This window comes from Homo sapiens, chromosome 6 (assembly GCF_000001405.40).
Source record: "Homo sapiens chromosome 6, GRCh38.p14 Primary Assembly".
Classification (NCBI taxonomy): Eukaryota; Metazoa; Chordata; class Mammalia; order Primates; family Hominidae; genus Homo; species Homo sapiens.
The window spans coordinates 35,677,138-35,704,525 of NC_000006.12; the positions used below are offsets into that span (position 1 = coordinate 35,677,138).

At 43.3% G+C, this 27,388-nt stretch overlaps 1 protein-coding gene across 4 annotated transcripts in view, besides 5 other annotated features; it reads right to left on the reverse strand.

Moving 5' to 3' along the window:
* FKBP5 (FKBP prolyl isomerase 5) overlaps positions 1–27,388 on the reverse strand; it is a 154,994-nt gene that overhangs the window by 103,548 nt on the left and 24,058 nt on the right. For 2 of the 4 annotated variants that reach the window (NM_004117.4, NM_001145777.2), the window contains exon 1: positions 11,667–11,778. The exons of 1 other annotated variant lie outside the window; for it this stretch is intronic. The gene's annotated coding sequence lies outside the window, so the exon portion shown is untranslated. Of the gene's footprint in view, positions 1–11,594; positions 11,779–27,388 lie in introns of those variants that run through there. One more of the 4 variants, NM_001145776.2, reaches the window with a different exon arrangement.
* Positions 6,121–6,321: a silencer, noted in NCBI's record as "peak5774 fragment used in MPRA reporter construct". NCBI's record gives its function as "represses an SCP1 promoter by STARR-seq MPRAs in K562 erythroleukemia cells {active_cell/tissue: K562}" and the evidence as "EXISTENCE:reporter gene assay evidence [ECO:0000049][PMID:32103011]".
* Positions 10,718–10,787: an enhancer, noted in NCBI's record as "active region_24409". NCBI's record gives its function as "activates an Ori minimal core promoter by ATAC-STARR-seq in GM12878 lymphoblastoid cells {active_cell/tissue: GM12878}" and the evidence as "EXISTENCE:reporter gene assay evidence [ECO:0000049][PMID:35858748]".
* Positions 10,808–10,897: an enhancer, noted in NCBI's record as "active region_24410". NCBI's record gives its function as "activates an Ori minimal core promoter by ATAC-STARR-seq in GM12878 lymphoblastoid cells {active_cell/tissue: GM12878}" and the evidence as "EXISTENCE:reporter gene assay evidence [ECO:0000049][PMID:35858748]".
* Positions 11,158–12,007: a silencer, noted in NCBI's record as "silent region_17096". NCBI's record gives its function as "represses an Ori minimal core promoter by ATAC-STARR-seq in GM12878 lymphoblastoid cells {active_cell/tissue: GM12878}" and the evidence as "EXISTENCE:reporter gene assay evidence [ECO:0000049][PMID:35858748]".
* Positions 26,561–26,761: a silencer, noted in NCBI's record as "peak5775 fragment used in MPRA reporter construct". NCBI's record gives its function as "represses an SCP1 promoter by STARR-seq MPRAs in K562 erythroleukemia cells {active_cell/tissue: K562}" and the evidence as "EXISTENCE:reporter gene assay evidence [ECO:0000049][PMID:32103011]".

The window sequence follows — 27,388 nt, forward strand, 5'->3', positions numbered from 1 at the left end:
ATCTCGGCTCACTGCAAGCTCCGCCTCCCGGGTTCACTCCATTCTCCTGCCTCAGCCTCCCAAGTAGCTGGGACTACAGGCGCCTGCCACCACACCCAGCTAATTTTTTGTATTTTTAGTAGAGACGGGGTTTCACTGTGTTAGCCAGAGTGGTCTCGATCTCCTGACCTTGTGATCCGCCCGCCTCGGCCTCCCAAAGTGCTGGGATTACAGGCATGAGCCACCACACCCAGCCCAGCAAAGGTGGATTTTTAAAGGGAACTATCTTGGTCAGGAAATATGAGACATGGGATAAGAAGAGAGTCTTCAAATAAACCCAAAGAAAAGACCTGTACTTTCTCCCATGAAAACACTAGAAAGTCCTGAAAATGTGTTATATATACTCGGTTCAGCATTTCCCCTACTACAAAGCACTTGCAGGTATTCCGGGCTGGGGAGAATTCATCCTGGGCCACAGTCTGTGGTCTAAGAAAGTCTGCTGCTCAAACTCCTTGAAAAATCATGGGCACTGCCAGCCACCACTATTCACCAGGTTATCTGAGCTGAGTGATTTGGCAATCTTCCATATCACCTTGGTTTAAATATAATTATTACCTAGGTCTTAAAAATGATGTGTCTGCCTAAAGGCTGACTGAAGCCTTTTTTTTTTTTAATTTAATTTTTAAAAACAGAGGCTCTCTCTGTCATCCAGACTGGAGTGCAGTGGCATGATCATGGCTCATTGCAGCCTCAACCTCCTGGGTTCAAGTGACCCTCCCACCTCAGCCTCTTGAGTAGCTGGGACTACAGGCACGCGCCCCCACACTGAGGCCTTCTCTGGAAGGGAAGAAAATGTCCTATTTTACATCGAGGGCATATCTTAATTTTGATATGTATGAAGTTCATTATAGACTCGGGATAACATCCTGCTTTACCACATTAACCAAATTAGGACAAGTGTAGTGAAAATCAAAAGGACAAAAAGATAAAGAGACATAAAGTTAGAAACAAAAGAATTTAGTGACTCACTGAGTTTAAGAAGGAAAAGTCAAAATGACCAATAAGAATAGTGGAGTCATTAACAGCTGAAGAGGGAAGTCAGGAAGAGAAGTGTTTTGGCTGGAGGGAGTGGGGAGGGGTCATGTTGGTATACAGCTGCTACAGAGATGGTATTTAAATACGTTTCATTTCAAGACATAGACGAATATTTAGACCTCAAGTTTAAACAGTGATGTAGGTTTGGGGCCTAAAAAAGAGGTGGCAGTTAAAGCACTGCAATGATGAAGGTTTTAGAGAAAGAAAAGGCAAAAGAAGAACATTTAGACAATTCCAGTATCTTAGGAATTGCATTCCTAAGATATTACACTAACCAAACTTTCCAGATGAACAGTACCTTATTCTACAGATACGGAGTACTTAAACTAATTTATTCTAATGAAAAGCATAAAAATTAATCCTTCTTTTTCTTTTCCAGGCTATGAATTGACAAAAAGCAGCTAAAGACAAAAACAGTTTCATAATTACCATTTGTCCAAAGTCAATCTCTGAGCTAAAACACAATGTTTTTTATGTTTCTCTACTTATAACAAAATTTCGGGAAAAAACTCAGAAAAAAAATTGGTACACCAATACTACCACTGTTTTATGATCTCTGTGAGAATTTAACAGTTTAAAAAAGCACATGGCTGGACACAGTGGCTCATGCCTGTAATCCTAACACTCTGGGAGGCCAAGGCAAGAAGACAGCTTGAGCCCAGGATTTTAAGACCAGCTTGAGCAACATAGTGAGACTGTGGCTCTACAAAAAAACTTAAAAATTAGCTGGTCATGGTGATGCATACCTGTAATCCCAGCTACTGTGGAGGCTGAGGTGGGAGGACTGTTTGTACTTAGGAGGTCAAGGCTGCAGCATGCTGTGATTTCACCACTGCATTTCAACCTGAGCAACAAGTAGGACCCTGTCTCAAAAAAATATATGAAATACAAATAACCAAAATGTCAGTAATTAATGAATCTGGGGAATGGGTACATGGAGGTTCATTAAAGAATCTGGAGAGGAGGTATATGGAACTTCATTAGACAATTCTCTACGATTCTGTGTATGTATGCAACTTTCATAATAAAAAGTCTAAAAAGGTCTACTTACAGGTATACTTTTTAAATCCTATCTTCAGTTAAGGCTGACCATTCTAAACAAAATTCTGGCAGATACTTTTCAAAGAATGTTTTCTTCATTCTCGACTGATCAATTAAACACCATAGTGAAATGGACCATAAAAGGGGAAAAGGCCTATTCTGTCATTTCAGAGAAATATGAACATGTTTATTACATGGAAGAAGTTAGTCCTTTTATCCATGTTGATTGATATCAGACATCTGTCATTCTTCAAAGAATTATGTTTTTGTTGAAAAATATATAAGTTAAATGAGTAAAGAAAACATGGCATACACACACAACGGAATACTACTCAGCCATAAAAAAGGAATGAAATAATGTCTTTTACAACAACTTTGATAAAGCTGGATACATTATTCTAAGTGAACTAACTCAGGAATGGAAAACCAAATACTGCATGTTCTCACCTATAAGTGGGAGATAAACTATGAGTACACAAAGGCATACAGAGTGATATAATGGATTCTAGAGACTCAGAAGAGGGCAGGGGAAAGGAATAAAAAACTACATATTGGGTAAAATGTGTATTACTCAGGTAACAGATGCACTAAAATCTCAGAATTCACCATGATATAATTCATCCATGTAACCAAAAACCACTTGTACTCCAAAGCTATTGAAATAAAAATATATTAAATTTAAAAACTTATAAATAAAAATATATAGGTCATATAACTTTATTATTTTCATGAGTAAAGGCAAAATAAATGTTTATGTTGAATATCAATGATTAATTTGTTGAAGCATCTGGTTAGCCCTCCAGTTACTTCAAACATCTTCTACTCGACTATATGACCAAATAAAACAACTTTCTGATGTAGATGGAAAAAAAAAAAAGATTTAAAAAAATGAACCAGGCCAGGCACAGTGGCTTATACCTGCAGTCCTAACACTTTGGGAGGCCAAGGTGGGAGGATCACTTGAGGCCAGGAGTTCAAGACCAGCCTGAGCAACACAGCAAGACTCTGTCTCTACAATTTTTCTTTAATTAGCCAGACATGGTGGTGCACGCCTATAGTCCCAGCCACTCAGGAAACTGAGGCAGGAGAATCATTTGAGCCCAGGAGTTCCAGGCTGCAGTGAGCTATGATCGCACTACTGCACTCCAGACTGGGCAACAGAATTAGACCCTGTTTCAAAAGAAAAAACAAAAAGAACCAATATCCATTAATTATGCCTAATACTAAATTGTAATGAACACATACTAAAAATTACATAAAATAAGTAGTAGAATTGGAAAGTTGAATTTTTTTAGCCATTATTGTTTAAGCTATGATTTAAATTGATTTAATCTAAATCAAATCACACTATTGAGGCTGTGGAAACATTAAATCTAGTAGACAGTGACAGATTTACCACTTACCAATGATCAAGAATAGTTTAGTTTACAAACACCAATGTCTTTCCTGCCTATGAAAAATAGCACCACCCAAAAACAACAACCAGATTTGTATGCCTCCTCTTCTTTGGCTAAGTTCTAGGATAGTAAAAACTGTTCATGTCTTTGCAACAGCTAGCACATTGTAGGTATACAACTCTTTTAACAGAAACAGTCACAACTTCCAATTCCCAGAAAGCTATTGCTAGGTTTCAGTCACATTCCCTAGGTGACATGTGTAGGATAACAAAATAAAGCAGGTTTGCCTTGTAGGCAGTTCTACCTTGAATCGTTTTGAGGATCCTGTTTCTTCTAACAGAAACATGTCATGAGTCTTTAGTGAAAAGCAGTATAAATACATATACATGAAGACAAAAGACAGCCAACGATTCTTTTTCTCATCATTATTAAACCACTGGTTAATTCCTAACTGAGGTATTTCATGTTTTTTAGATAACAAGATCATCCTCATTTTCAACACTTTTTTTAGCTTTCTTTCCTTTATTAAAGTAAAATTTACATACTATAAAATCTTAAGTTTGAATCAATATGTTTGAGTAAATGTATATAACAATTGGCAAAACTGGATAAAGGTATACGGAAGCTCTTTGTACTAGTCTTGCAACTTTTCTGTAAGTTAAAAATTACATGAAAACGAAGTTACCCAAAAAGTATATAACTGAATTACCATCACCCAAGTCAAGCTACAGAATATTTCCATCATGCCAGAAAGTTTCCTTGTGCTCCTTTCCAGTCAACCACAACCCCTACCCAGAGGCAACCACTGTCCTGATTTCTATCACCATACCTTAGTTTTGCCTGTTCTTGTATTTTTCATAAATGGCATCATAAACACTTATACATACTCATCTGTGCCTGGCTTCTCTTGCTATGAACAGTATTTCTGAGATTCATCTATGTTGCTATGTGAATCAGTAGTTTATTCCTACTGTGAAAAAAGCTGCTATGACCCAGTCTTTTTGTGGGCATATATACTTATTCCTCTTGGTACAATAAGATTTCACAGAAAAAAAGTTTCGCATATAAATATGCCTGGGAAATAAGGCAGTATAGATAGATACTGCTATACACACATAAAACATATAGCAACCATATATACCATTATATATAATGTAAAAAAGATATTTGATATTTATACATATGTGTAATATATGTGTAATACACACACATACATAAGCTTGAATAATTCTGATCACGCCACTGCACTCCAGTCTGGGCGATAGAGTGAGACTGTCTCAAAAAAAAGAATTTATAAAGTTCATAGTGAAAGTAAATCTAAGATGGGAAAGATGAGCATCTCAATTTTTCTAAGTTTATGTCTTAACCTAACAATAACTCAAAAGAGAAACAAGTATCTCTCCATGTAAATTACCCTGTTAGGTTTCAATGAAACACCTTTTCTCTTGTAACAAACATCTCCTCCAAGCTAGAATTTCAAAACAGTGTTACCATCCACTAGGTAATAATTTTTATGCTAGCAACAAAACCCAAAATATGTGTTCAGATTACAAGACTGTTTTTATTGTCTTGCTTTTTTAAAAAAGTTAAACATGGAAAAACTTAATTAATTAATATCTAACATGGGTAAAGAACATTCCATGCTCATTCAGAATATATTCTGATGCAGACTCAATCTCTAAGATGTTTTCTCCATTCCAAAAAGTAACCTATCGCAGCATTATGTCCATGACTGGGACATCTTGACTTTCAAATTCACTGTGCAATTTTCAGCTAACAATGGAGGAGGTTCTTTAGTTTCCAGAGATAGGAACACTGAGAACAAGTACAAATCTAACTTTTGAAAAGATCAATCTGAAATTTGCAACCCTGCTTTTGATAATGAAATGACCATTTTCTGGGGACTCCTCATTTATAACATCTTTAAATTGCCAAGTTTAAAACAGAATGCTACAAATGATTCTAGAAATTTACCACTGCCCACTTAGGATTTGCAACTACAAAAGGGAAAAAACAACCCTCTTCCAGTCTGATTTTTCTTCATCTCTTATTCTTCTTTCCAAAAAACGAACAATTTCAAAAGGATACAATTCAAATGTACTACATTTTTAAGCCAGGCATGGTGGCTTGGGCCTGGGATCCCAGCACTTTGGGAGGCTGAGACAAGAGGATTGCTTGAGCCCAGGAGTTTGTGTCGAGGCTGCAGTTAGCCACCACACTTCAGCCTCGGTGACAGAGCAAGAAACAATCTCTTTTAAAAAAAAAAAAAAAGAAAAAAAAGTATATATATATATATCCCATTTCTTTTTTAAAAAAAGGTTAAAAACATACGTCAATCTCTTTAAAATGTATGTATGTGTCTGTGTGTATATATATGTCTCTTCCAATCTTTTTCTTAAAAAAAGTATAGAAATATATATCCCAAGCTCTTTCTTTAAAAAAAAAAGTGTGTGTGTATATATATACGTATATGTGTGTGTGTGTGTGTGTGTGTGTGTGTGTGTGTGTGTGTGTGTGTGTGTGTGTGTATTTGAGACTGGGTCTTGCTCTGTCCCCCAGGCTGGAGTATGGTGGCTCACTGCAGCACTGAACTCCTGGGCTCAAGTGATTCTCTTGCTTCACCCTTCCAAAGTGCTGGGATCACAGATACAAGCTACCACACCTGGAGAACTTTATATTTTTTGTAGAAATGGGGTCTTACTATGTTGCCCAGGCTGGTCTCTAACTCCTGGGCTCAAGCAACCCTCCTGCCTTGGCTTCCCAAAGTGTTGAGGTGTTGACATTACAGGTGTGAGACATCATGCCTGGTATATATATATACTTTTTTTTTTATTGAGATGGAGTTTCACTGTGTTGCCCAGGCTGGAGTGTAGTGGTGCAATCTCAGCTCATTCCAACCTCCACCTCCCAGGTTCAAGTAATTTGCTTGCCTCAGCCTCTTGAGTAGTTGGGACTAAGGGCATGCACTGCCATGACTGGCTAATTTTTTTTTTTTTTTTTTTTTTTTTTAGTAGAGATGGGGTTTTGCCATGTTGGCCAGGCTGGTCTCCAACGCCTGACCTCCTGGCCTGGCCTATATTTTTAATCTTATAAAACATTATCAGAATTTGGACATTCCTAGGCTGGGCATGGTGGCTCACACCTGTAATCCCAGCACTTTGGGAGGTCGAGGCAGGCGGATCACCTAAGATCAGGAGTTTAAGACCAGCCTGGCCCTGGCCAACATGGCAAAACCTCGTCTCTACCAAAAATACAAAAATTAGCTGGGCGTGGTGGTGTGTACCTGTAATCCCAGCTACTCAGGAGGCTGAGGCAGGAAGAATCGCTTGAACCAATGGAGGTTGCAGTGAGCGGAGACTGTACCGCTGCACTCCAGCCTGAGCAACAGAGCAAGACCCTGTCTCAAAAAATAATAATAATAAAATAAAGAATTTGGACATTCCTTAGCTTTCACAGATGTGTGACTGTTTACTTAAAAACCCATTATTTCACTTTGAAAATACATCATTTTCATTTTTCCAGTAATTGTATCTTTTTTTTTTTTTTTAAGGCAGGGTCTCGCTCTGTTGTCCAGGCTGGAGTACAATGGCTTAATCACCGCTCACTGCAGCCTCAACCTCCCAGGCTCAAGTGATCCTCCCACCTCAGCCTCCCAAGTAGCTGGGACTACAGGTGTACTCCACCACACCTGGCTAACTTTTGTACTTTTGTAGAGAGGAGGTTTCACCATGTTTCCCAGGCTGGTCTCAAATTCCTGGGCTCAAGCAATCCACGTGCCTTGGCCTCCCAAAGTGCTGGCATTACAGGCGTGAGTCACTGCACCTCGCCACCTTTTTCTAAGAAGAAAAACAGCCTTGATTAAGCCTTGATTTTGATAACAAAAATGACAGCAACTCCAAACAACTACAATCACAATTTTCAATATCTTTTGACTGATTGTTTTAGAGAACTAAAATAAAATCTTATTCTTATTTTTTAAATGTTTTGATTCCAGACCAAGGGTAAAAAACAAATACAACAAATATATAGACCCCACACTCCCTCTGGTGGACCTTCACTTTCATTAACCAAATGTTTTCCAAGAGGCTATAAGTCGGCCTGGCACTGTGGCTCGCACTTATAATCCCAGCACTTTGGGAGGCCAAAGCAGGAGGATCACTTGAGCTCAGGAGTTGGACACCAGCCTGGGCAACATAGTGAGACCTTATCTCTACTAAAAATTAAAAGTTTTAAAAATTAGCCAGGTGTGGTGGTGTGTGCCTGTAACCCCAGCTACTTGGGAGGCTGAGGTGGGAGGATCACTTGAGACCAGGTGGTTGGGCAGGAGGATCTCTTGAGCCTGGGAAGTCTGCAGTGAGCCATGATGACACCACAGCACTCCAGCCTGGGCAATAAAGCAAGACCCCGACTCAAAAAAAAAAAGACTAGAAGTAAATACTAAATTAAGCATAAAATGTAGGTTCTCAAACTACTATAAGAAGTACAAATTATTTTGAGTAGTGGAATTTTAGTGTTCTAAATATTGTTAAAATATCCTTATTAATCTGTTAGTAACCTGCTAGTACATATGGCCCCACTGTAAATTATTTTAGCCAGTCTCATTTGGCAGTACTGTCTTTTACATAGTAAATAAACATCTCATTTGCAAATTAAATTACACTTAAGTGGTTATTGTTTTAAATCAATAGTTATGTGACATACATACCACCACCACCCAGTCGCTACTGAATGTAGATTTAATTTTCTTTATACTTTTGGGGATATGATGTCAGAATTTTAAAATGCACTAAAATGTACTGCAGAAAAATTTAGAAATATAAAATACTTAAAAAACAAAATCTACTAATCAGCTAAGTTGTAAAGTTCAAATAGTTTCAGAATTATAAAATGCAGATATTTGTTAAACATGAATTACAAAATTTAGTGTGCCAATATGTATAATATAGATTATTCTTTAGGAATTATGAAAACTTATTTTAATTAATGGTCTTTAGAGGAATTCTTCATGCCGGGTACAGCAAGCATATTACTGTTAAATAAAGCAATACTAGGCTAGGCGCGATGGCTCACGCCTGTAATACCAGCACTTTGGGAGGCTGAGGCGGGTGGATCACCTGAGGTCAGGAGTTCGAGACCAGCCTGGCCAACATGGCAAAACCCCGTCTCTACTAAAAATACAAAAATTAGCCGGACATGGTGGCGCAGGCCTGTAGTGTCAGCTACTCAGGAGGCTGAGGCAGGAGAATCGCTTGAACCCGGGAGGCAGAGGTTGCAATGAGCCGAGACTGCGCCCTTGCACTCCAGCCTGGGCAACAAGAGCAAAACGCCATCTCAAAAAAAAAAAAAAAAAAAAAAGCAAAACTAATGTCTATAATAGTGGCATTTGATCTAGCCTCAAAATTAGTTGTTTTAATGTAAGCCCTTGTTTTCTGTAGCTTCATTTATTTAAAAATACTTACTATCACCTCCAAACTCAAAAGGAGTTATACCTGAGGGTAAATGGCTTTAAAAACACTCCCAATGTTTATTGTGTGGATTTGAGAATTCAACTTATGCTTAATTTTTGAAACTGAAATTGTAGTTGATAATTTTATGATATCATCTATTACAAGTTAAAGTAGAGAAAAATCAGTAATTAAAATATCTAAAAACTAAATTTTAAAATGGGCTTTTAATTAAACCTAAAGTTAATAAAACTTTAACTTTTATAGTTAAAATACTAAAATACACATATGTAAATAAATTTATGAAATGCAACTTTATTGTATGTGGTTTATATACATACATCATCACAGAATAAGGACAATAAACAACTAATTATTAATAGTATTTTATATATTTAAGTACACTAAAGAGCAATTATATAAATGATAAAAAATAATGGAAGCTACAGTCTTATCCAGTTCCTTTCAACTATTTACATAGAATAAGCCCTCCGAACGTGAGGATGAATTATTGTTCAACCTATCCACACTAAACATCAAAAAGCCAACTTAGCTTTTAACAGCAGTAACTTCTTCTACAGGTATACAAACAGGATGTTCTTTCCTCTCCAGACTAATTCATCCTAAGCAGAGAAGCCTTTAGGAAACTAAACTGAACCCAAAATATGCATTATTTTCCAAGAATAAACAGATAACTAAAGATTTAATAAGTTGCCTAATGCAATATTTTAAGTTTTTCATTTGAACTGATTAAAAATATGTTTTAAAAAAGAAATTCACCCAAAATTCCCATAACTAAAAGAATTAAAGACTCAGAAACATACAAAGACCTCATAGCTTGTTATGGAGAAATAAAACAATAAAGACCACTATATTCTTTTTAATCTAAAATAGTCACAATTATTGGTTGAAGAGTTGATGGTTCAATGGCGAACTCTTATCAGCTATTAGCTAACTGTAATTACCTAGGCAAATAAGTAAAATGACCATTCAATGAATAATAAACTAGCATAATTAAATCAAGATTAGCAACTTTGTTCTTAACTTAAACTTAATCTCCGAAGTATAAATCTTACCTAATACAGATATCAACCAAGACACATTAGAAGAAAAAAACTGGGTAACTAAATAAAGTGTTTCTCACAAATAATGAGTATTAATAACCCTCGTTTTAAAAATGTCATTTGTATAGAATCTCTAAATTGGTCAGGGCCATAATTGCAGACTGTCAGGCAGAGGTCAGCTGGGGGAGAGACAAACAGAAAATGGTGAAGTGAAAGTATGACAATAAAAATTTCCCACCAGAATAAGAATTTTTTTCAAGTCGATTCTTGGCTTTTGATTCAAACACCAAGAGAAGCAGCTCCCTTTAGAGAATTACTTTATAATTCTCTAAAGTAAAAACCCTTATGGAGGAGGTGGATAGAATCCCAGACTATTAAAAATACTTAACCAAAATATGCTTTAACTTTTCCCTTGTCCACAATCTAACAAAATGGGAAGACAATGAAAATAAACACTCCTGTCTACACTCAGAGAGGCAAAGAAAGCTCCCATTCAGTAGTAAGCCTTATTCCACTGGAAAACATACTCCTGAAAAGTAAATCCAAAACCACGAGCTCAAACTGCTTCATGCAGAATTTACTGAACGGCGGCCAAACGCTGAACACACTGTCCTGAACCACACTGAAGGGTATCTACAATTCTGCATCTCCGCTTACAACTTGAAACTTACTACGCTTTCGCCACCACTGCAGAACCCGATTTTAGAGACTACGATGGTCCTGCCGGTTCGTTAATCGAAGAAAGCCACTCTGCACCCTGACGCTCGTAGTGTCTTTTTGGTAATACTGGTTTTTGACTCTTATACTGTGACCGGTGCACCTTTTTGGACGACCAATAAGGCGGAAGACGTTTTCACGTCCCAGAACAGAAGAGCATAAGGAGCCCTGGCACAGCGTTCAGCCGCTTCGGTATGGCCTGGGAGTGACGCGGATCACCTGTTAGACGGCGCTGCGCGGACTCCTCCACAAGCGGCCGACAGCGGCGATGCGGTTCCCCAACGCTTGTCCCGAGGCGGCAGGTGAAGGCGGGGACCGCCCGTCCACACCCGGAGCGCGGCCACCCCGCCACCATCCCCTTCACAGCCCCGCCAGGTGGGCGAATCCGCCCCGCGCCCGCGGCGTCCCGGCGCTCGGCTCGCCCTGGGGTCCGGTTGTCCCGGCGCCCGGACCCGAAAGCGAAGTTTGGCTCCCGCCCGCAGCGGTGCCGGCTGAGGGTCCGGCCGCCTGTCCGGGGAGAGCCGGGGGCCAGAGACCGGAGGCGGAGCGGGACCTGTCATCCCGGGCGGGAAACAAAAGCCCAGTGAGGACGGGCGGGCGCGACCCGCCTCGCCTCTGCCGGGAGAGGCCGGCGGGGGCGGAGAGCGGCGCCCGCGGTCACTAGTCTCCGCGCCTCCCGCGGGGAGCACCGGCCCCGCGGCCCCTGGGGCGCGGCGAGGGGCGCCGCAGTGGGGCCGAGGCCTCCCGCGCGCTCCCCTCGAGGCTTCCGGACCCCGCTCCCCCGCGACACGCGGCTCCTGGGCTGCGAAGCCGCGTGGGGGTGGGAGCTGAGGCAGCGAGTGCGACCGCGGCGGGACCTGGAAGGAGGGCGTTCGGCTCCCGGGGCGCCGCGGCCGGCCGCCCCATCTCCGTGGCCATGGCGCCGGTACCTGTCGCCGCGGGGGCTCGCCGACTCCGTCACTCTCCGCCTTGCCCGTGCTCCGCTAACCCTTCAGCCCGCCCAGCAGGCCGCCCGCGCGCCGGACACCGCCGCCCGAGACTGGCAGCGCCCGCGAGCCGGCCCGAATCCCCGGGGCAGCGCCCGGCGCCGTCCCGCCCCAGCCGGCCGCAGGACCCGCCTTCCATAGGGCCCCGGGGCTGTCAGTCCGCCCCCAAAAGGCGCGCGGGCTGTCGATCCGCCTGTCCGGATTGGTGGCCGCGCGCCGTCCATGCAAATGAGGCCCCGCCCCCATCATTTGCTCCTCCACCTCCCCACGCCAGCCCACGTGTCTGGCCCTTGCCCTTTGTGGGGGCCATAGAGAAGGGATGGTGGAAACTGACACCCCCTCACATCTCTTACCTCCCGAGAAATTAATGCCTAAGCAAGCTAGTTGACTTCCCATCTGTATCGTCTCTCTGAAGGCACTGCCCCTCCTATCTGTCCACAGGGCCTACCTAGAGGCCGGAGAGGGGCAGGCCAGGCTGTTTGTTAGGTCAGCTGGCCAGGTTAGCCCTAGGAAGCAACCCCATTAAGTCTAAGATGCCCAGTCGGGACTGGGGAAATCCCACCTCGAGAACCAATTTAGCAGATATCACCTCCCTCTGGACACCCAGTGACTGTAAAGACCATACTTTCTCTTGGCTTGCTACCTTTCAAGCAGGAGATCCCAGGAGATTAAAACAGGAAGAGGCCTTACGGCTGAGTTCGGCCAGGTGGGGTGGCTCACGCCTGTAATCCCAGCACTTTGGAAGGCCGAGGTGGGCGGACCACGAGGTCAAGAGATCGAGACCATCCTAGCCAACATGGTGAAACCCCGTCTCTACTAAAAATACAAAAATTAGCTGGGCTTGGTGGCGCGCGCCGTCCCAGCTACTCGGGAGGCTGAGGTAGGAGAATCGCTTGAACCTGGGAGGCAGAGGTTGTAGTGAGTCGAGATCACGCCACTGCACTCCAGCCTGGTGACAGAGCAAGACTCCATCTCAAAACAAAAACAAAAACAAAACGGCTGAGTTCTTCCGCCAACTCCGAAAGGTAGACTGCCAACCAGATGGCTACCTCTGAGTTACTCCCATAGAGATGCAGGAGCTGCACCTGGGCCTTAGGGAATCTCTAATCAACTCTCTCATTTTTAAGGAAACAGAAACCTGATGTCCCATAGCTAGTTACACGTGGGACCTAATAGTTACCTATGGAAACCTAATATCCCATAGCCAGATTAGAACTCATGTCTCCTGGCTCCAAACCTGCTCTCTTTGCACTATACTGCATTCAAACATTTATGAAGAGCCTCGTCCAGAAATCGCCATGCTGCCTTCAAGAGATGATGCCTGGGCGCCGGGCGCGGTGGCTTACGCCTGTAATCCCAGCACTTTGGGAGGCCGAGATGGGCGGATCACCTGAGGTCGGGAGTTCGAGACGAGCCTGACCAACATGGAGAAACCCCGTCTCTACTAAAAATAATTTTAAAAAATTAGCCGGGCATGGTGGCGCATGCCTGTAATCCCAGCTATTCAGGAGGCTGAGGCAGGAGAATTGCTTGAACAGAGGTTGCAGTGAGCCGAGATCGCACCATTGCACTCCAGCCTGGGCAACAAGAGCGAGACTCCATTCTAAAAAAAAAAAAAGGGTGATGATGTCTGCAGAAAAGACAAATAAAGCCAAGACTGAAACCGCCTCGAGGGCAGGGGTTCTGTCTCAGTCATTTGTCTGTCCTCAGTGCCTAGAAGCTTCCCTGTTTACCAGTTGCCGAGGGGAGTCACTGAAACAATGTATTTGTTCATTAACGCAGAAAAACAAAGTTGATCAAAATTCCTCTGCATACTAATACCAATTGATTAAGCATCTACTATGCTTAATAATAGCACATATTAGGCAGGGCACAGTGGTTCACACCTGTAATCCTAGCACTTTGGAAGACAGAGGTGGGCGGATCACCTGAGGTCGGGAGTTCGAGACCAGCCTGACCAACATGGAGAAACCCCATCTTTACTAAAAATACGAAATTAGCCAGGCATGGTGACGCATGCCTGTAATCCCAGCTACTCGGGAGGCTGAGGCAGAAGAATCGCTTGAACCCGGGAGGCGGAGGTTGCAGTGAGCCGAGATGGCACCATTGCACTCCAGCCTGGGCAACAAGAGCAAAACTCCATCTCAAAAAAAATAATAATAAATAAATAAAATAAAATAAAATAAAAATAACAGCACATATTAAGCTCTATGCTATCAGGGTATATATGTCCCAACCCTCAAGGGCTTCATTAGGAGACAGTGACATACACGTAACATGTCAGTTCTCCTCTTCATGTTACAGGGGTTGTGACAGATGTCTGCATAGGGCACAATGGAAGGCGCCAAGGAAAGAGGAATCAGCTCTTCCTACGAGAGGCAGGGAAGGCGTCATTGAAGAGGTCACCTGACAGTAGAGCTGAATCTTAGAAGATGAAGTAGGTGTTTGCCAGACAGAGGGGTGTGGACAAGGGGGAAAGGGACTCCCAGGCAGGAGGGGACAGCGTGAGCAAAAAGCATGCAGACCTGGAAAAGCCTAATAATTGAGGGAACAGTGAGGAGCAGTGTGGGCAAATCTGCAGAGGGCTGTGTGGACGTGTCACATGTCTGGGACCAGGCTCTTCCAGGAGGAAGACAGAAAGGCAGGGGAGGCTGCCAGGCTGTGTTGTAATACACCGCAGCAACAACAACAGGCCCTGTAGATACAGCTACACGGTTCTTTTTTTTTCTAGGCCAGAGTCTGTGGAGAACAGTCAGTTCCACAGTTCCGATGGCAGCCTTGCTAGCCCCACCCACTCTCCCAGAAAACCACTCTGATCACTGCACTTGCCTTCCTTGGCATTTGGAAACACATGTGCTTGCATTTTCCCTAAACATTACTGCCCTTCAGAATTCAAAGATGACATGCGCTATGGCTGCAGATACCTGGATGTGGGATGAGCAGCCCTTTCCTAAGGCACAGTACGGTTCTTTGCAGGGTCTGTACCTAAGACCAGTTCCATGGGTATGTGACCTGTGTAGTACACAGGGCCGTGTACTTAGAAGAGCCCTGTGCTGGGTCTAATGCTCTGCTGCCGCCGTCTTGAAATTCTTAGTACTTTCTCAACAAAGGGCCCTGCACTCTCATTTTTCACTGGGCCCTGCAAATTATATGGCCAGTCCTGCCTGTCACTGGTAGTGACCCTGGGCATGCTTGTGGAACTGCTCAAACCACATCTCATTTTAAAAGCACTTCGCATTCACTAGACTCATTCACATGCATTTTATCATTTGATTCTCTTTTTCTGTCTTCCTTTTTCTTTTAGAGACAAGGGCTCACTCTATTACCCAGGCTGGCCTGGAACCGCTGGGCTCAAGAGACCCTCCCACCTTGGCCTCCTAAACTGTCAAGATTGCAGGTGTGAGCCACCTTGCCCGAACTTATCATTTGATTCTCACAATGGGGTAGGCCAGTGTTACTCTTTATTTTCATTTATTACTTGAAAAAATTGAAGTTTGGCAACTTTCTCCAGGTGGCACAGCTAGGAAGTAGCAGAGCTTGTACTTGAACTCAGCCCAGGCAAGCCCTGTTCCAACTACTACCGAGCTACCTTCATCTTGGTTTCAGAATCCTTTTAAAGGCAGCTTTGTACATTAAGGTTTTTGAGAGTCAGAGTATGCCAGGCGTGGTGGTTCATGCCTATAATCCCAGCACTTTGGGAGGCTGAGGTGGGCGGATCACCTGAGGTCAGGAGTTCGAGACCAGCCTGGCCAACATGGTGAAACCCTGTCTCTACTAAAAATACAAAAATTAGCTGGGCGTGCGCCTGTAGTCCCTGCTACTTGGGAGGCTGAGGCATGAGAATTGCCTGAACCCAGACGGTGGAAGTTGCAGTGAGCCAAGATTGCACCACTGCACTCCAGCCTGGGTGACAGAGTGAGACTCTGTCTCAAAAAAAAAAAAAAAAAAGAAGAGAATACACGGTAGAGTGGATATCTGTCATTTCACGGCTGCCTATCACCTTTGAATAGTTTTTCCTCAGTTTTGAACAATTCTCAGACATTATATGTTCAAATACGATTTCTGTCCTTTTTCTTCTTTCTTTCTGGGGCTCCAGTTGAAACACATTCAACCTTCTTACTTCATCCCTTTATTCTGTATTTTCTGTCTTTTATCCTTCTATGCTTTGTCCTAATAAGTTTCTTCTATTTTCAGCTCACTCAGTCTCTTTTCAGCTAAAAAAAAAAAAAAAAAAAAAATCTCATCTTAAACCCAACCATTGAGCTCCATTTGGTTATTCTATTCTTTTTCTTTTCTCTCTCTCTTTTTTTTTTTTTTTTTGAGATGGAGCCTGGCTCTGTTGCCCAGGCTGGAGTGCAGTGGCGCGATCTCAGCTCACTGCAAGCTCCGCCTTCCAGGTTCACACCATTCTCCTGCTTCAGCCTCCCAAGTAGCTGAGACTACAGGTGCCCGCCACCACGCCCAGCTAATTTTTTTGTATTTTTAGTAGAGACGGGGTTTCACCATGTTAGCCAGGATGGTCTCAATCGCCTGACCTCCTGATCCGCCCGCCTCGGCCTCCCAAAGTGCTGGGATTACAGGTGTGAGCCACTGCGCCCGGCCAGTTATTCTACTCTTTAAGTCTAGAATTTCTATTTGGCCCTCCCTCCCTTCTTTCTTTCTTTCCTTTCTTTTTTTGAGACAGAGTCTTGCTCTGTCGCCCAGGCTGGAGTGCAGTGGCACAGTCTCAGCTCACTGCAACCTCCGCTTCCCAGGTTCAAGCAATTACCCTGCCTCAACCTCCCAAGTAGCTGGGATTACAAGGCACATGCCACCACGCCCAGCTAATTTTTTTATTTTTAGTAGGGACAGGGTTTCGCCATGTTGGCCAGGCTGGTCTTGAACTCCTGACCTCAGGTGATCCGCCCGCCTCGGCCTCCCAAAGTGCTGGGATTACAGGTGTGAGCCACTGTGCCTGGCCTCTATTTGGTTCTTTTTCAAATCTGCTATGCCACTTCATGTATTTCCCAGTACCCTGCTATAATTTTCAGGCTTGTCTTATCCATCCTTAAACATAGTATTGTTGTTTTATGGTCTATAACTGATAATTCTAATCTGGAGTTCCTGTGAATCTGCTTCCATTGTCAAATATTGTTTTTGCTTTTTACTTTAAAAAAAAAATAGTGACAGAGTCTCTCTATGCTGCCCAGGCTGGTCTTGAACTCCAGGGCCCAAAGGATCCTACTGCCTTGGCCTCCCAGAATACTGGGATTACAGGTGTGAGCCACTGCACCCAACCAGTTTCTATTTTTGTTTTCATTTTCAAGACAGGGTCTCACTCTGTCACCTAGGCCGGAGTGCGGTGGCGTGATCATGGCTCACTGCAGCCTTGACCACCTAGGCTCAAGCGATTTTCCCACTTCAGCCCCCCAAGTAACTGGGACTACAGGTGTGTGCCAACATGTCTGGTTAATTTTTTTTATTTGTAGCGACAGGTCTCACTATTTGCAGAGACCAGGCTGGTCTCGAACTCCTGGCTTCAAGTGATCCTCTTGCCTCGGCCTTCCAAAGTGCTGGGATTATAAGTGTGAGCCACCACTCCCTGCCCCATTATCAGTTTTTAGTGATTCATTCTCATGTCACCATATACCTGGTTATGTTTTGGACATTGTATTTTAAAAAATCATTTTAAGTAACAATAGTAATATCTTCCTCTGGGAAATATTTCCATTTGCTGCTACCAGGCATCTAGGGGCACCAGCAGTCTGGGATCATCTTAACTCAATTTCAGGGCTCCAGATTTTCTGAGTCATCTGATGACTCAGAGCTGGACTACAGTCTATGGAAGCATTTTTGTTTTGTTTTCTTTTTAGTGTGTGTTTTTTACGGTTCCCCTTTACTCAATTGTGCAGTTCTTTGGGGTCCCAGTCTAAGATTGGGGTTTTTTTAGTTATGTATTGCTTCATAGCAAACTATTCCAAAATTTAGTGGCTTAAAACGATGTCCAGCCAACTTTTTTAAGGACCAGATAGTATATAGTTTAGACTTGCAAGCAATATAGTCTTTGTCACAACTACTCAACTCTGTCATTATAGCACAAAGCAGCCATATAGCACAAAGCAGCATATAATAAATAAACAAATGGCATGTCTGTGTCCCAACAAAACTTTATTTACAAAAACACGCAGCCATCTTCAACCTGATAAAGGGCATCTATGAGAAACCTACAGCCAATATCATACTTAACGGTGAGAGAATGGATGCTTTCCCCAGGAAATAAGACAAGGATAAGAGAAGAATGTCCATTTCAACCACTTCTATTTATTTTTGTTTTGTTTTTTCAAGACAGAGTCTCGCTCTGTCACCCAGGCTGGAGTGCAGTGGCTTGATCTCAGCTCACTGCAACCTCCGCCTCCTGGGTTCAAGGGATTCTCATGCCTCAGCCTCCCAAGTAGCTGAAATTACAGGTGCACGCCACAACGCCTGACTAATCTTTTGTATTTTTTAGTAGAGACTGGGTTTCACCATGTTGGCCAGGCTGGTCTCAAACTCCTGACCTCAAGTGATCCACCTGCCTTGGCCTCCCAAAGTGCTGGGATTACAGGCATAAGCCACCATACACAGTCATTCCAACCACTTCTATTTAATGTTATACTGGAGGTTCTATCCAGGGCAATTAGGCAAGAAATACAAATTAAAGGAATCCAACTAGAAAGGAAGACATAAAACTATCTCTTCACAGACACACAACCTTGTATATGGAAAATCTTAAGGAATCTACTAAAAAACTATTAGAACTAACAAACAAATTCAGCAAGGTTGCAGGATACAAGATAAATAACAAAAATCAATTGTATTTCTACATACTTGCAATGAGCAATCCAAAGATGAAATTAAGAAAACAATTTCATTTATGATAGCATCAAAAAGAAGAAAATACATTTTATTGGAATACATTTAATGAAAGAAGTGTAAACTTAGAAAACAACAAACATTGTTGAAAGAAATTAAAGACAGTCTTTAGGCCGGGCGTGGTGGCTCACACCTGTAATCCCAGCACTTTGGGAGGCTAAGGTGGGAGGATCATGAGGTCAGGAGATCGAGACCATCCTGGCTAACACGGTGAAACCCTGTCTCTACAGAAAATACAAAAAAATTAGCTAGGCATGGTGGCAGGCACCTGTAGTCCCAGCTACTAGGGAGGCTGAGGCAGGAGAATGGAGTGAACCCAGGAGGCGGAGCTTGCGGTGAACCGAGATCGTGCCACTGCACTCCAGCCTGGGCGACAGTGTGAGACTCTGTCTCAAAAAAAAAAAAAAAAAAAAGACAGTCTTTAGTGGAATGTATGCAGAGGTTTTTTAAAAAAGAAATTAAAGACCATCTAAATAATTGGAAAAACTGGCCAGGCACGGTGGCTCCTGCCTGTAATCCCAGCACTTTGGGAGGCAGGTGGAAGGAGTGCTTGAGTCCAGGAGTTCAAGACCAACCTGGACAACATGGCAAGACACTGGCTCTACAAAAAATTAGCCCAGCATGGTGGCATGCACCTGTAGTCCCAGCTACTCAGGAGGCTGAGGTGGGAGGATTGCTTGAGACCAGATGTTGGAGGCTGCAGTAAACTGAGATCATGCCACTGTACTCCAGCCTGGGCAACAGAGCCAGACTCTGTCTCAAAAAAAAAAAAAAAAATTGGAAAAACATCCTGTGTTTATGGATTAAGTAATGTTAATGTTTATGGATTAAGTAATGTTAAGTAAGACTTAACGTTGTTAAAAATGCCAATTCTTCCCAAATTGATCTTTTGATATAATGCAATCCCCATCAGAATCTGAGATGACTATTTTATAGAAATTGACAAGCTGATTTTAAAATTCATATGGAATTGCATTAGACCAAGAATAGCCAAAACAATGTTTAAGAAGAAAAACAAAGTAGGAGGGTTCATATTTCCTGATTTCAAAACTTACTTCAAAGCAGCAATAATCAATGCAGTGTGGTACTGGAAAAGGATAGACTTATAGAGAAATGGAATAGAATTGAAAGTCCAGAAATAATCTCACTCATCTGTGGTCAACTGATTTTTGACAAGGGTGCCAAGCATTGGTGAGAATATGGAGAAACTGGAATTTTCATGCATTGCTGGTGGGAATGTAAAATGGTATGGCCTCTGTGGAAAACAGTTTGGCAATCCTAAAATTTTCAATATAAAATTACCATATATTCCAGTAATTCCACTCGTAGGTATTTATCCAAAAGAATTAAAAGCAGGAACTCAAACAGATACTTGGATACCAATGTATATATCAGCATTATTCATGATAGCCAAAAGGTGGGCCCAATTCAAATGTCTAACAATTAATGAATAGATAAACAAAATGTGAACACACAATGGAACACTATTTGGCCATAAAAAAAGAATGAAGTAAGGCCGGGAGCAGTGGCTTACGCCTGTAATCCCAGCACTTTGGGAGGCCGAGGCAGACAGATCACCTGAGGTCGGGAGTTCAAGACCAGCCTGACCAACATGGAGAAACTCCATCTCTACTAAAAATACAAAATTAGCCGGGCATGGTGGCCCATGCCTGTAATCCCAGCTACTCAGGAAGCTGAGGCAGGAGAATCGCTTGAACCCAGGAGGTGGAGGTTGCAGTGAGCCAAGATGGCACCATTGCACTCCAGCCTGGGCAACGAGAGTGAAACTCTGTCTCAAAAAAAAAAAAAAAAAGAATGAAGTACTAATAGATGCTACAACATGTATGAACCTTGAAAACATAATAAATGAAACTAGTCGGTCATAAAATATCTCATATTATATGATTACATTCATATGGAATGTCCAGAACAGGGAAGACAGGTAACAATACATAGATTTCTTAAGGCTGGAGGTGTAGGAGAGGGGAGGATGGGAAGGTGATAGGTAAAGAATACAGAATTTCTTTTTGAGAAATTATTATAAAGTTGACCATGGTAATGGTTGCACACATATGCGAATATACTAAAAACCATTGTGCTGTACACTTTAAGTGGGTGAACTGTATGGTATGTGAATTATATCTCAATAAAGCTGTTAATAAAAATAAAAGAACAAATAACCAGCCATGGGTCATAGTTTGCTTACTCCTGGCTTTAAGCAACAACTATCATATTTACTCACTGTTATTTGTCCATTCTCACATTGCTATAAAATACTTGAGACTAGGTAATTTATAAAGAAAAGAGGTGGCTGGGTGTGTTGGCTCACGCCTGTAATCCCAGCGCTTTGGGAGGCCAAGGTGGGTGAATCACCTGATGTCAGGGGTTCAAGACCAGCCTGACCAGCATGGTGAAACACCGTCTCTATTAAAAATACAAAATTAGCCAGGCGTGGTGCCGCATGCCTGTAATCCCAGCTACTCGGGAGGCTGAGGCAGGAGAATCGCTTGAACCTGGGAGGTGAAGGTTGCAGGGAGTGGAGGTCGCACCACTGCACTCCAGCCTGGGCAACAAGAGTGAAACTCCATCTTAAAATAAATAAATAAATAAATAAGGCCGGGCGCGGTGGCTCACGCCCGTATTCCCAACACTTTGGGAAACCTAGGTGGCAGATCACCTGAGGTCAGGAGTTGGAGACCAGCCTGGCCAATATGGTGAAATCCTGTCTCTACTAAAAATGCAAAAATTAGCCGGGCTTGGTGGCAGGAGCCCGTAATCCCAGCTTCTCGGGTGGCTGAGGCAGGAGAATCGCTTGAACCTGGGAGGCAGAGGTTGCAATGAGCCAAGATTGCGCCACTGCATTCCAGCCTGAGAGAGTAAGACTCCATCTCAAAAAATAATAAATAAATAAATGAAAAATAAAAGAGGTTTAATTGGATTGTGGCTCTGCAGGCTGTACAGGAAGCATAGTGATTTCTGCTTCTGCTTCTAATCATGGCAGAAGGCAAAAGGGGATCGAGGCCTCTCACATGGCAGGAGCAAGAGAGAGAGTGAGCAGGGAGGTGCAACACGTTTTTAAACAACCAGATCTCACAAGAACTCACTCACTATCACAAGAACAGCACCAAGGGAATAGTGCCCAAACCATGCATGAGAAATCCACCCCTATGATCCAATCACCTCCCACTAGGTCCCACCTGTAACACTGGGGATTACAATTCGACATGAGATTTGGTGGGGACACAAATCCAAACCACATCATTTGCTCATGATTCTGCAATTTGAACAGAATTTGGCAGGGACAGCTGGTCTCTAGTCTATGTGGCAAGGGTTGGGGCAACTTGAACAGGGCTGAATGATCCACTTCCAAACTGGCCTTACTCACACGGAAGGCAAGTAAGACCCTAGCTGTGATGTTGGCAAGGGTCTCCAGCTCTTCTCCACATGGGCTCTCCATGAAGCTAGGTTGGGTTTCTCACAGCGTGTTGGTCTCAAGGTGATTGGACTTCTGAACATGGTGTCTGGCTTCCTCCACAGGGCAAATATGGAAATTGTCAGGCCTTCTTAAGGTTTACATCTGTAACTGACACAGCATCACTTCTACCACATTCTCTTAGTTAAAACACGTTACAGCCCAGTCCAGGTTCAAGGGGAGGGAACTAACAATGGTGTGAATATTCAGATACACAGTTATCTGGGGACGACCAAGGTTACTCTCTATCACAGTCCATCTTCTGTCTCCTAATGATTCACTTGCTCTTACATGTACAATACACTCACTGCTCCTTAATTCCCCCCAAAGTCTCACCCCATTAATGTGCTAGTATTGAGCTTGACGTCCATACTTTCCTCATCTAAATTAAAGCCAAGTACGAATGAGGCTTCAATTTCAATGGATGCTGCTCTCGATCTGAAGATCTTTGAACTTAAGAGACAAGTTATCCACTCCCCACACACAATGGTGAGGCAGGGAAGAGAAAATTATAATTGACACTTACTAAAAAGGAGGAAATAGCCAGGCATGGTGGCTCACGCCTGTTATCTTATCACTTTGGGAGGCCGATGCGGGCAGATTACCTGAGGTCAGGAGTTCAAGACCGGCCTGGTCAACATGGCGAAACCCTATCTCTACTAAAAATACAAAAATTAGCCAGGTGTGGTGGTGCATGCCTGTAATCCCAGCTACTCGGGAGACTGAGGCAGGAGAATAGATTGAACCCAGGAGGCAGAGACTGTAGTGAGCTGAAATTGCGCCACTGCACTCCAGTCTGGGCGACAGAGTGAGACTCTGTCCAAAAGAAAAAAATGCAACTACCCTGAAGAACAAGGACTTAACTAAGGAATTGTGTCCAGCTGGATTTCAGAATTGCTACGGACCTGTGGCTGCTATGTGCCTGCCACTTCTTTTTTATTTTATTTATTTTTTTCTGAGACAGTCTCGCTCTGTCGTCCAGGCTGGAGTACAGTGGTGCAATCTCGGCTCACTGCAATCTTTGCCTCCTGGGTTCAAGCGATTCTCCTGCCTCAGCCTCCCAAGTAGCTGGGACTACAAGCATGTGCCACCACACTTGGCTAATTTTTATATGAAGCTGCCTTCTTAAGGCTTAAGCCAGAAGTGGCACAACATCACTACCACTATATTCTATTAATTAAAGCAGGTCACAGAGCAGCCCAGAATCAAGGGATACACAGGATATGAATACCCGTAGCCATGGCTCAGTCTATCACAAGAGTGATTTGTCAGGGTATCCACCTTGGTAGGCCCCGAACTCCAAATTCATACCCTTAATCCCAAGAAGCTTTCAAAGGTATGGCTCAGCCTCTCCAATGGCTCCTTCAGATTGGCAAATGCACTTGGGCAAAAGCAGGTCCGAGTGCTGGGCTCACCTCTCTGGTAGAGTTGCCACATTTAATAAATAAAAAAGGCCAGGCACGGTGGCTCACGCCTGCAATCCCAGCACTTTGGGAGGCCGAGGTGGGCGGATCACCTGAGGTCAGGAGTTCGAGACCAGCCTGACCAATATGGCGAAACCCTGTCTCTACTAAAAATACAACAAATTAGCCGGGCATGGTGGTGCACACCTGTAATCCCAGCTACTCTGGAGGCTGAGGCAGGAGAATCACTTGAACCCAGGAGGCAGAGGCTGCAGTGAGCCAAGATCAAGCCACTGCACTCCAGCCTGGGCAACAGACCAAGACTCCATCTAAAAAATAAATTAAAAAATAAATAAATAAAAAAATTTAAAAATAGGATGTCCAGTTAAATTTTAATTTCAGATAAGCAACAAATACTTTTTTTAGTATAAGTATATCCCAAATATTGCAGGAACATAATTTGCATATGAAAAAAGTATTCAGTGTTTATCTGAAATTCAAATTTAACTGGGACACACACTGAAAAATTATCCATTATCTGAAATTCAGATAAGAATTTAACTAGGAGTGCTGTGTTTTTGTTTGTTTGTTTGTTTGTTTGTTTTTGTTTTTTGTTTTTTTGTTTTTTTTTTTTTGAGACGGAGTCTCGCTCTGTCGCCCAGGCTGGAGTGCAGTGGCGGGATCTCGGCTCACTGCAAGCTCCGCCTCCCGGGTTCACGCCATTCTCCTGCCTCAGCCTCCCAAGTAGCTGGGACTACAGGCGCCCGCCACTACACCCGGCTAATTTTTTGTATTTTTAGTAGAGACGGGGTTTCACCGTTTTAGCCGGGATGGTCTCGATCTCCTGACCTCGTGATCCGCCCGCCTCGGCCTCCCAAAGTGCTGGGATTACAGGCGTGAGCCACCACGCCCGGCCTGTTTGTTTGTTTTTTGAGACAGGGTCTCACTCTGTTGCAAGGCTGGAGTGCAGTGGTGCAATCTCAGCTCACTGCAGCCTCAACCTCCCTTGCTCAAGCAATCCTCCCACCTCAGCCTCCTGAGTACCTGGGACTACAGATGTGCACCATGATGCCCTACTAATTTTGTTTATTTTTTGTAGAGACAGGGTCTCACTATGTTGCCCAGGCTGGTCTCGAACTCCTGGGCTCAAGCACACCTCCCACCTCAGCCTCCCAAAGTGTTGGGATTACAGGTGTGAGCCACCACACCTGGCCAGGAATGCCGTATTTTTTTTTTTCTTAGGTGGAGTCTCACTCTGTCACCCAGGCTGGAGTGCAATGGCATGATTTCGGCTCACTGCAACCTCTGCCTCCCAGGCTCAAGCAATTCTCATACCTCAGCCTCCCAAGTAGCTGGGATTACAAGTGTGCGCCACCACACCCAGCTAATTTGTGTATTTTTAGTAGAGATGGGGTTTCACCTTGTTGGCCTGGCTGGTCTGGAACTCCTGACCTCAAGTGATCTGCCCATCCTGGCCTCCTAAAGTGCTGGGATTACAGGCGTGAGCCACCATGCCTGGCTGGAATGTTGTATTTTTATCTGGCAACCCTAACCTCTCTGGACTCCTACATTTTCCTCTATCTTGGTCCAATAACTCCTCACTATCTCGTTAGGTTTTTGATGCATTTAAGATTTAAATCATAATTACTGAATGATTAAATAATCTCTACAACAAACCCTTGTGACATGAGTTTACCTATGTAATAAACCTTCACATGTACCCCGAACCTACAATAAAGGTTAAAAAAAAAAAGACAGAAAAGAAAAGATAGTCTTTTGACAAATGGTGCTAAAACAACTGGATAATGGCATGCAAAATATAAACTTTGATTTTTTTTTTTTTTGAGACGGAGTCTTGCTCTGTCCCCCAGGCTGGAGTGCAGTGGCATGATCTCGGCTCACTGCAACCTCCACCTCCTGGATTCACGCCATTCTACTGCCTCAACTTCCCGAGTAGCTGGGACTACAGGCGCCCGCCACCACGCCCGGCTAATTTTTTGTATTTTTACTAGAGATGAGGTTTCACCGTGTTAGCCAGGATGGTCTCGATCTCCTGACCTCGTGATCCACCCGCCTCGGCCTTCCAAAGTGCTAGGATTACAGGCATGAGCCACCGCGCCCAGCCATATAAACTGATTTGTATCTCACACCACATAGAAAAATTAACTAAAAATGGATCCTGACCTACATGCAAAACCAAAAGCTCTAACATTATTAGAACACATAGAAAATCTCTGTGACTTTGTGTTAAACAAAGATTTATTTGATATGAAACTAAAGGAATAATACATTTAAAAATTCGTATTTTATCAAAAAAAAGGTTTTTTCAAAGTTAAATTCAGGCTGGGTGCCGTGACTCATGCCTGTAATTTCAGCACTTTGGGAGGCCAAGGCGGGCAGATCACCTGAGGTCAGGAGTTCAAGACCAGCCTGGCCAACATGGCGAAACCCTGTCTCTATCAAAAATACAAAAATTAGCTGGGTGTGATGGCAGGCACCTGTAATCCCAGCTACTTGGGAGGCTGAGGCAGGAGAATTGCTTGAGACTGGGAGGTGGAGGTTGCAATGAGCCGAGATCATGCCACTGCACTCCAGCCTGGGCAACAAGAGCAAGACTCCATCTCAAAAAAAAAAAATTAGCCAGGTGTGGTAGTGGGCACTTGTAATCCCAGCTACTCGGGAGGCTGAGGCACAAGAATCACTTGAACCCGGGAGGCGGAGGTTGTAGTGGGCTGAGATCAAGCTGCTGTCCAGCCTGGCCAACAGAACATGACTCCATCTCAAAAAAAATAAAAATAAAAGTTAAATCCCAACACATAGAAATGATACTCAAGGTGATTGATATCCTAAATACCCTGATTTGATCATTATACATTCCATGCATGTAACAAAATATCACATGTACCCCATAAATATGTACTAATATTATTTATCAATTTTAAAATATTTAAAGATATTTGTCTAGCATATGTAGTTGTCTTTGAAGTATTGGTCCAATTCTAATTGGCCTTTCTATACTTGGGGAAATTCCTCTATTATGGGTTTTGCCTCTCAAACTAGAAGTCAGAACTCAGATTCCCAGCCTCCCTTGCAGCTAGAACATTGACATGTGACCCAGTTCTACCAATCACACACCCAAGAAAGACTTCAATTCTGAAGTGCACAGCAGGAGGCTTGGTGGTCACAGTGGCAACAGAAGTGGTTCCCCAGGGGTTGTAAGGTCAAGTTCCTGAAGTTGAATTTGGCATTGGTGCTGGAGGCAGGAGTGGCTGTGCTAACATTAAGTTCTCAGCATCAGTGTTCAGCAATGGTGGTAGCAGCCATTTTCTCTGCAATGTGATTGTAGCCACTACCCCTGGAAGCTTAGCCTGGAATCTGTCTCTCTCCTCCCTCCCAACGATTCTGTGAGTTACCTAACAACCTGAAATAAGCCCCCTTTCTGCTCAGTCTAGTCAGATAAGACTCTGTTGCTTGTAAGTAAGATCCACTAATGATACACCTGGTTTCTGGTCTCTGATCTTTCACTAAATAGTTGTGCAAACTTGAGAAATTTCTCTCCCCTCCACACTGCAGTTTATACTTCTATAGAGAAGTGGGGGCAGGTATCTAGAAAGGAGCTCCAGGCCCACAGACTCACAGACAAGTAATTGAGAGCCCAGAGAAGTCTGTTGGCCACTGTGGTTTCCAGGATGACCACTGCCAGATCTCAAGCTGCTTCTTTCTGTTCTTCCTAAGGTGCTGAACTCCACTGTGGCACCTGCTGCCTTCATTTGGTTGTACCATTTCTGATGATCCAGTGACACCTCAAGAGGAAAGAATGGTTTTCCATCTTTATTGCTCAAAAACCAGGAATATATCTGGGTGGCTGGATTTAGCTCCTAAGACAATCTCCCAGTTGC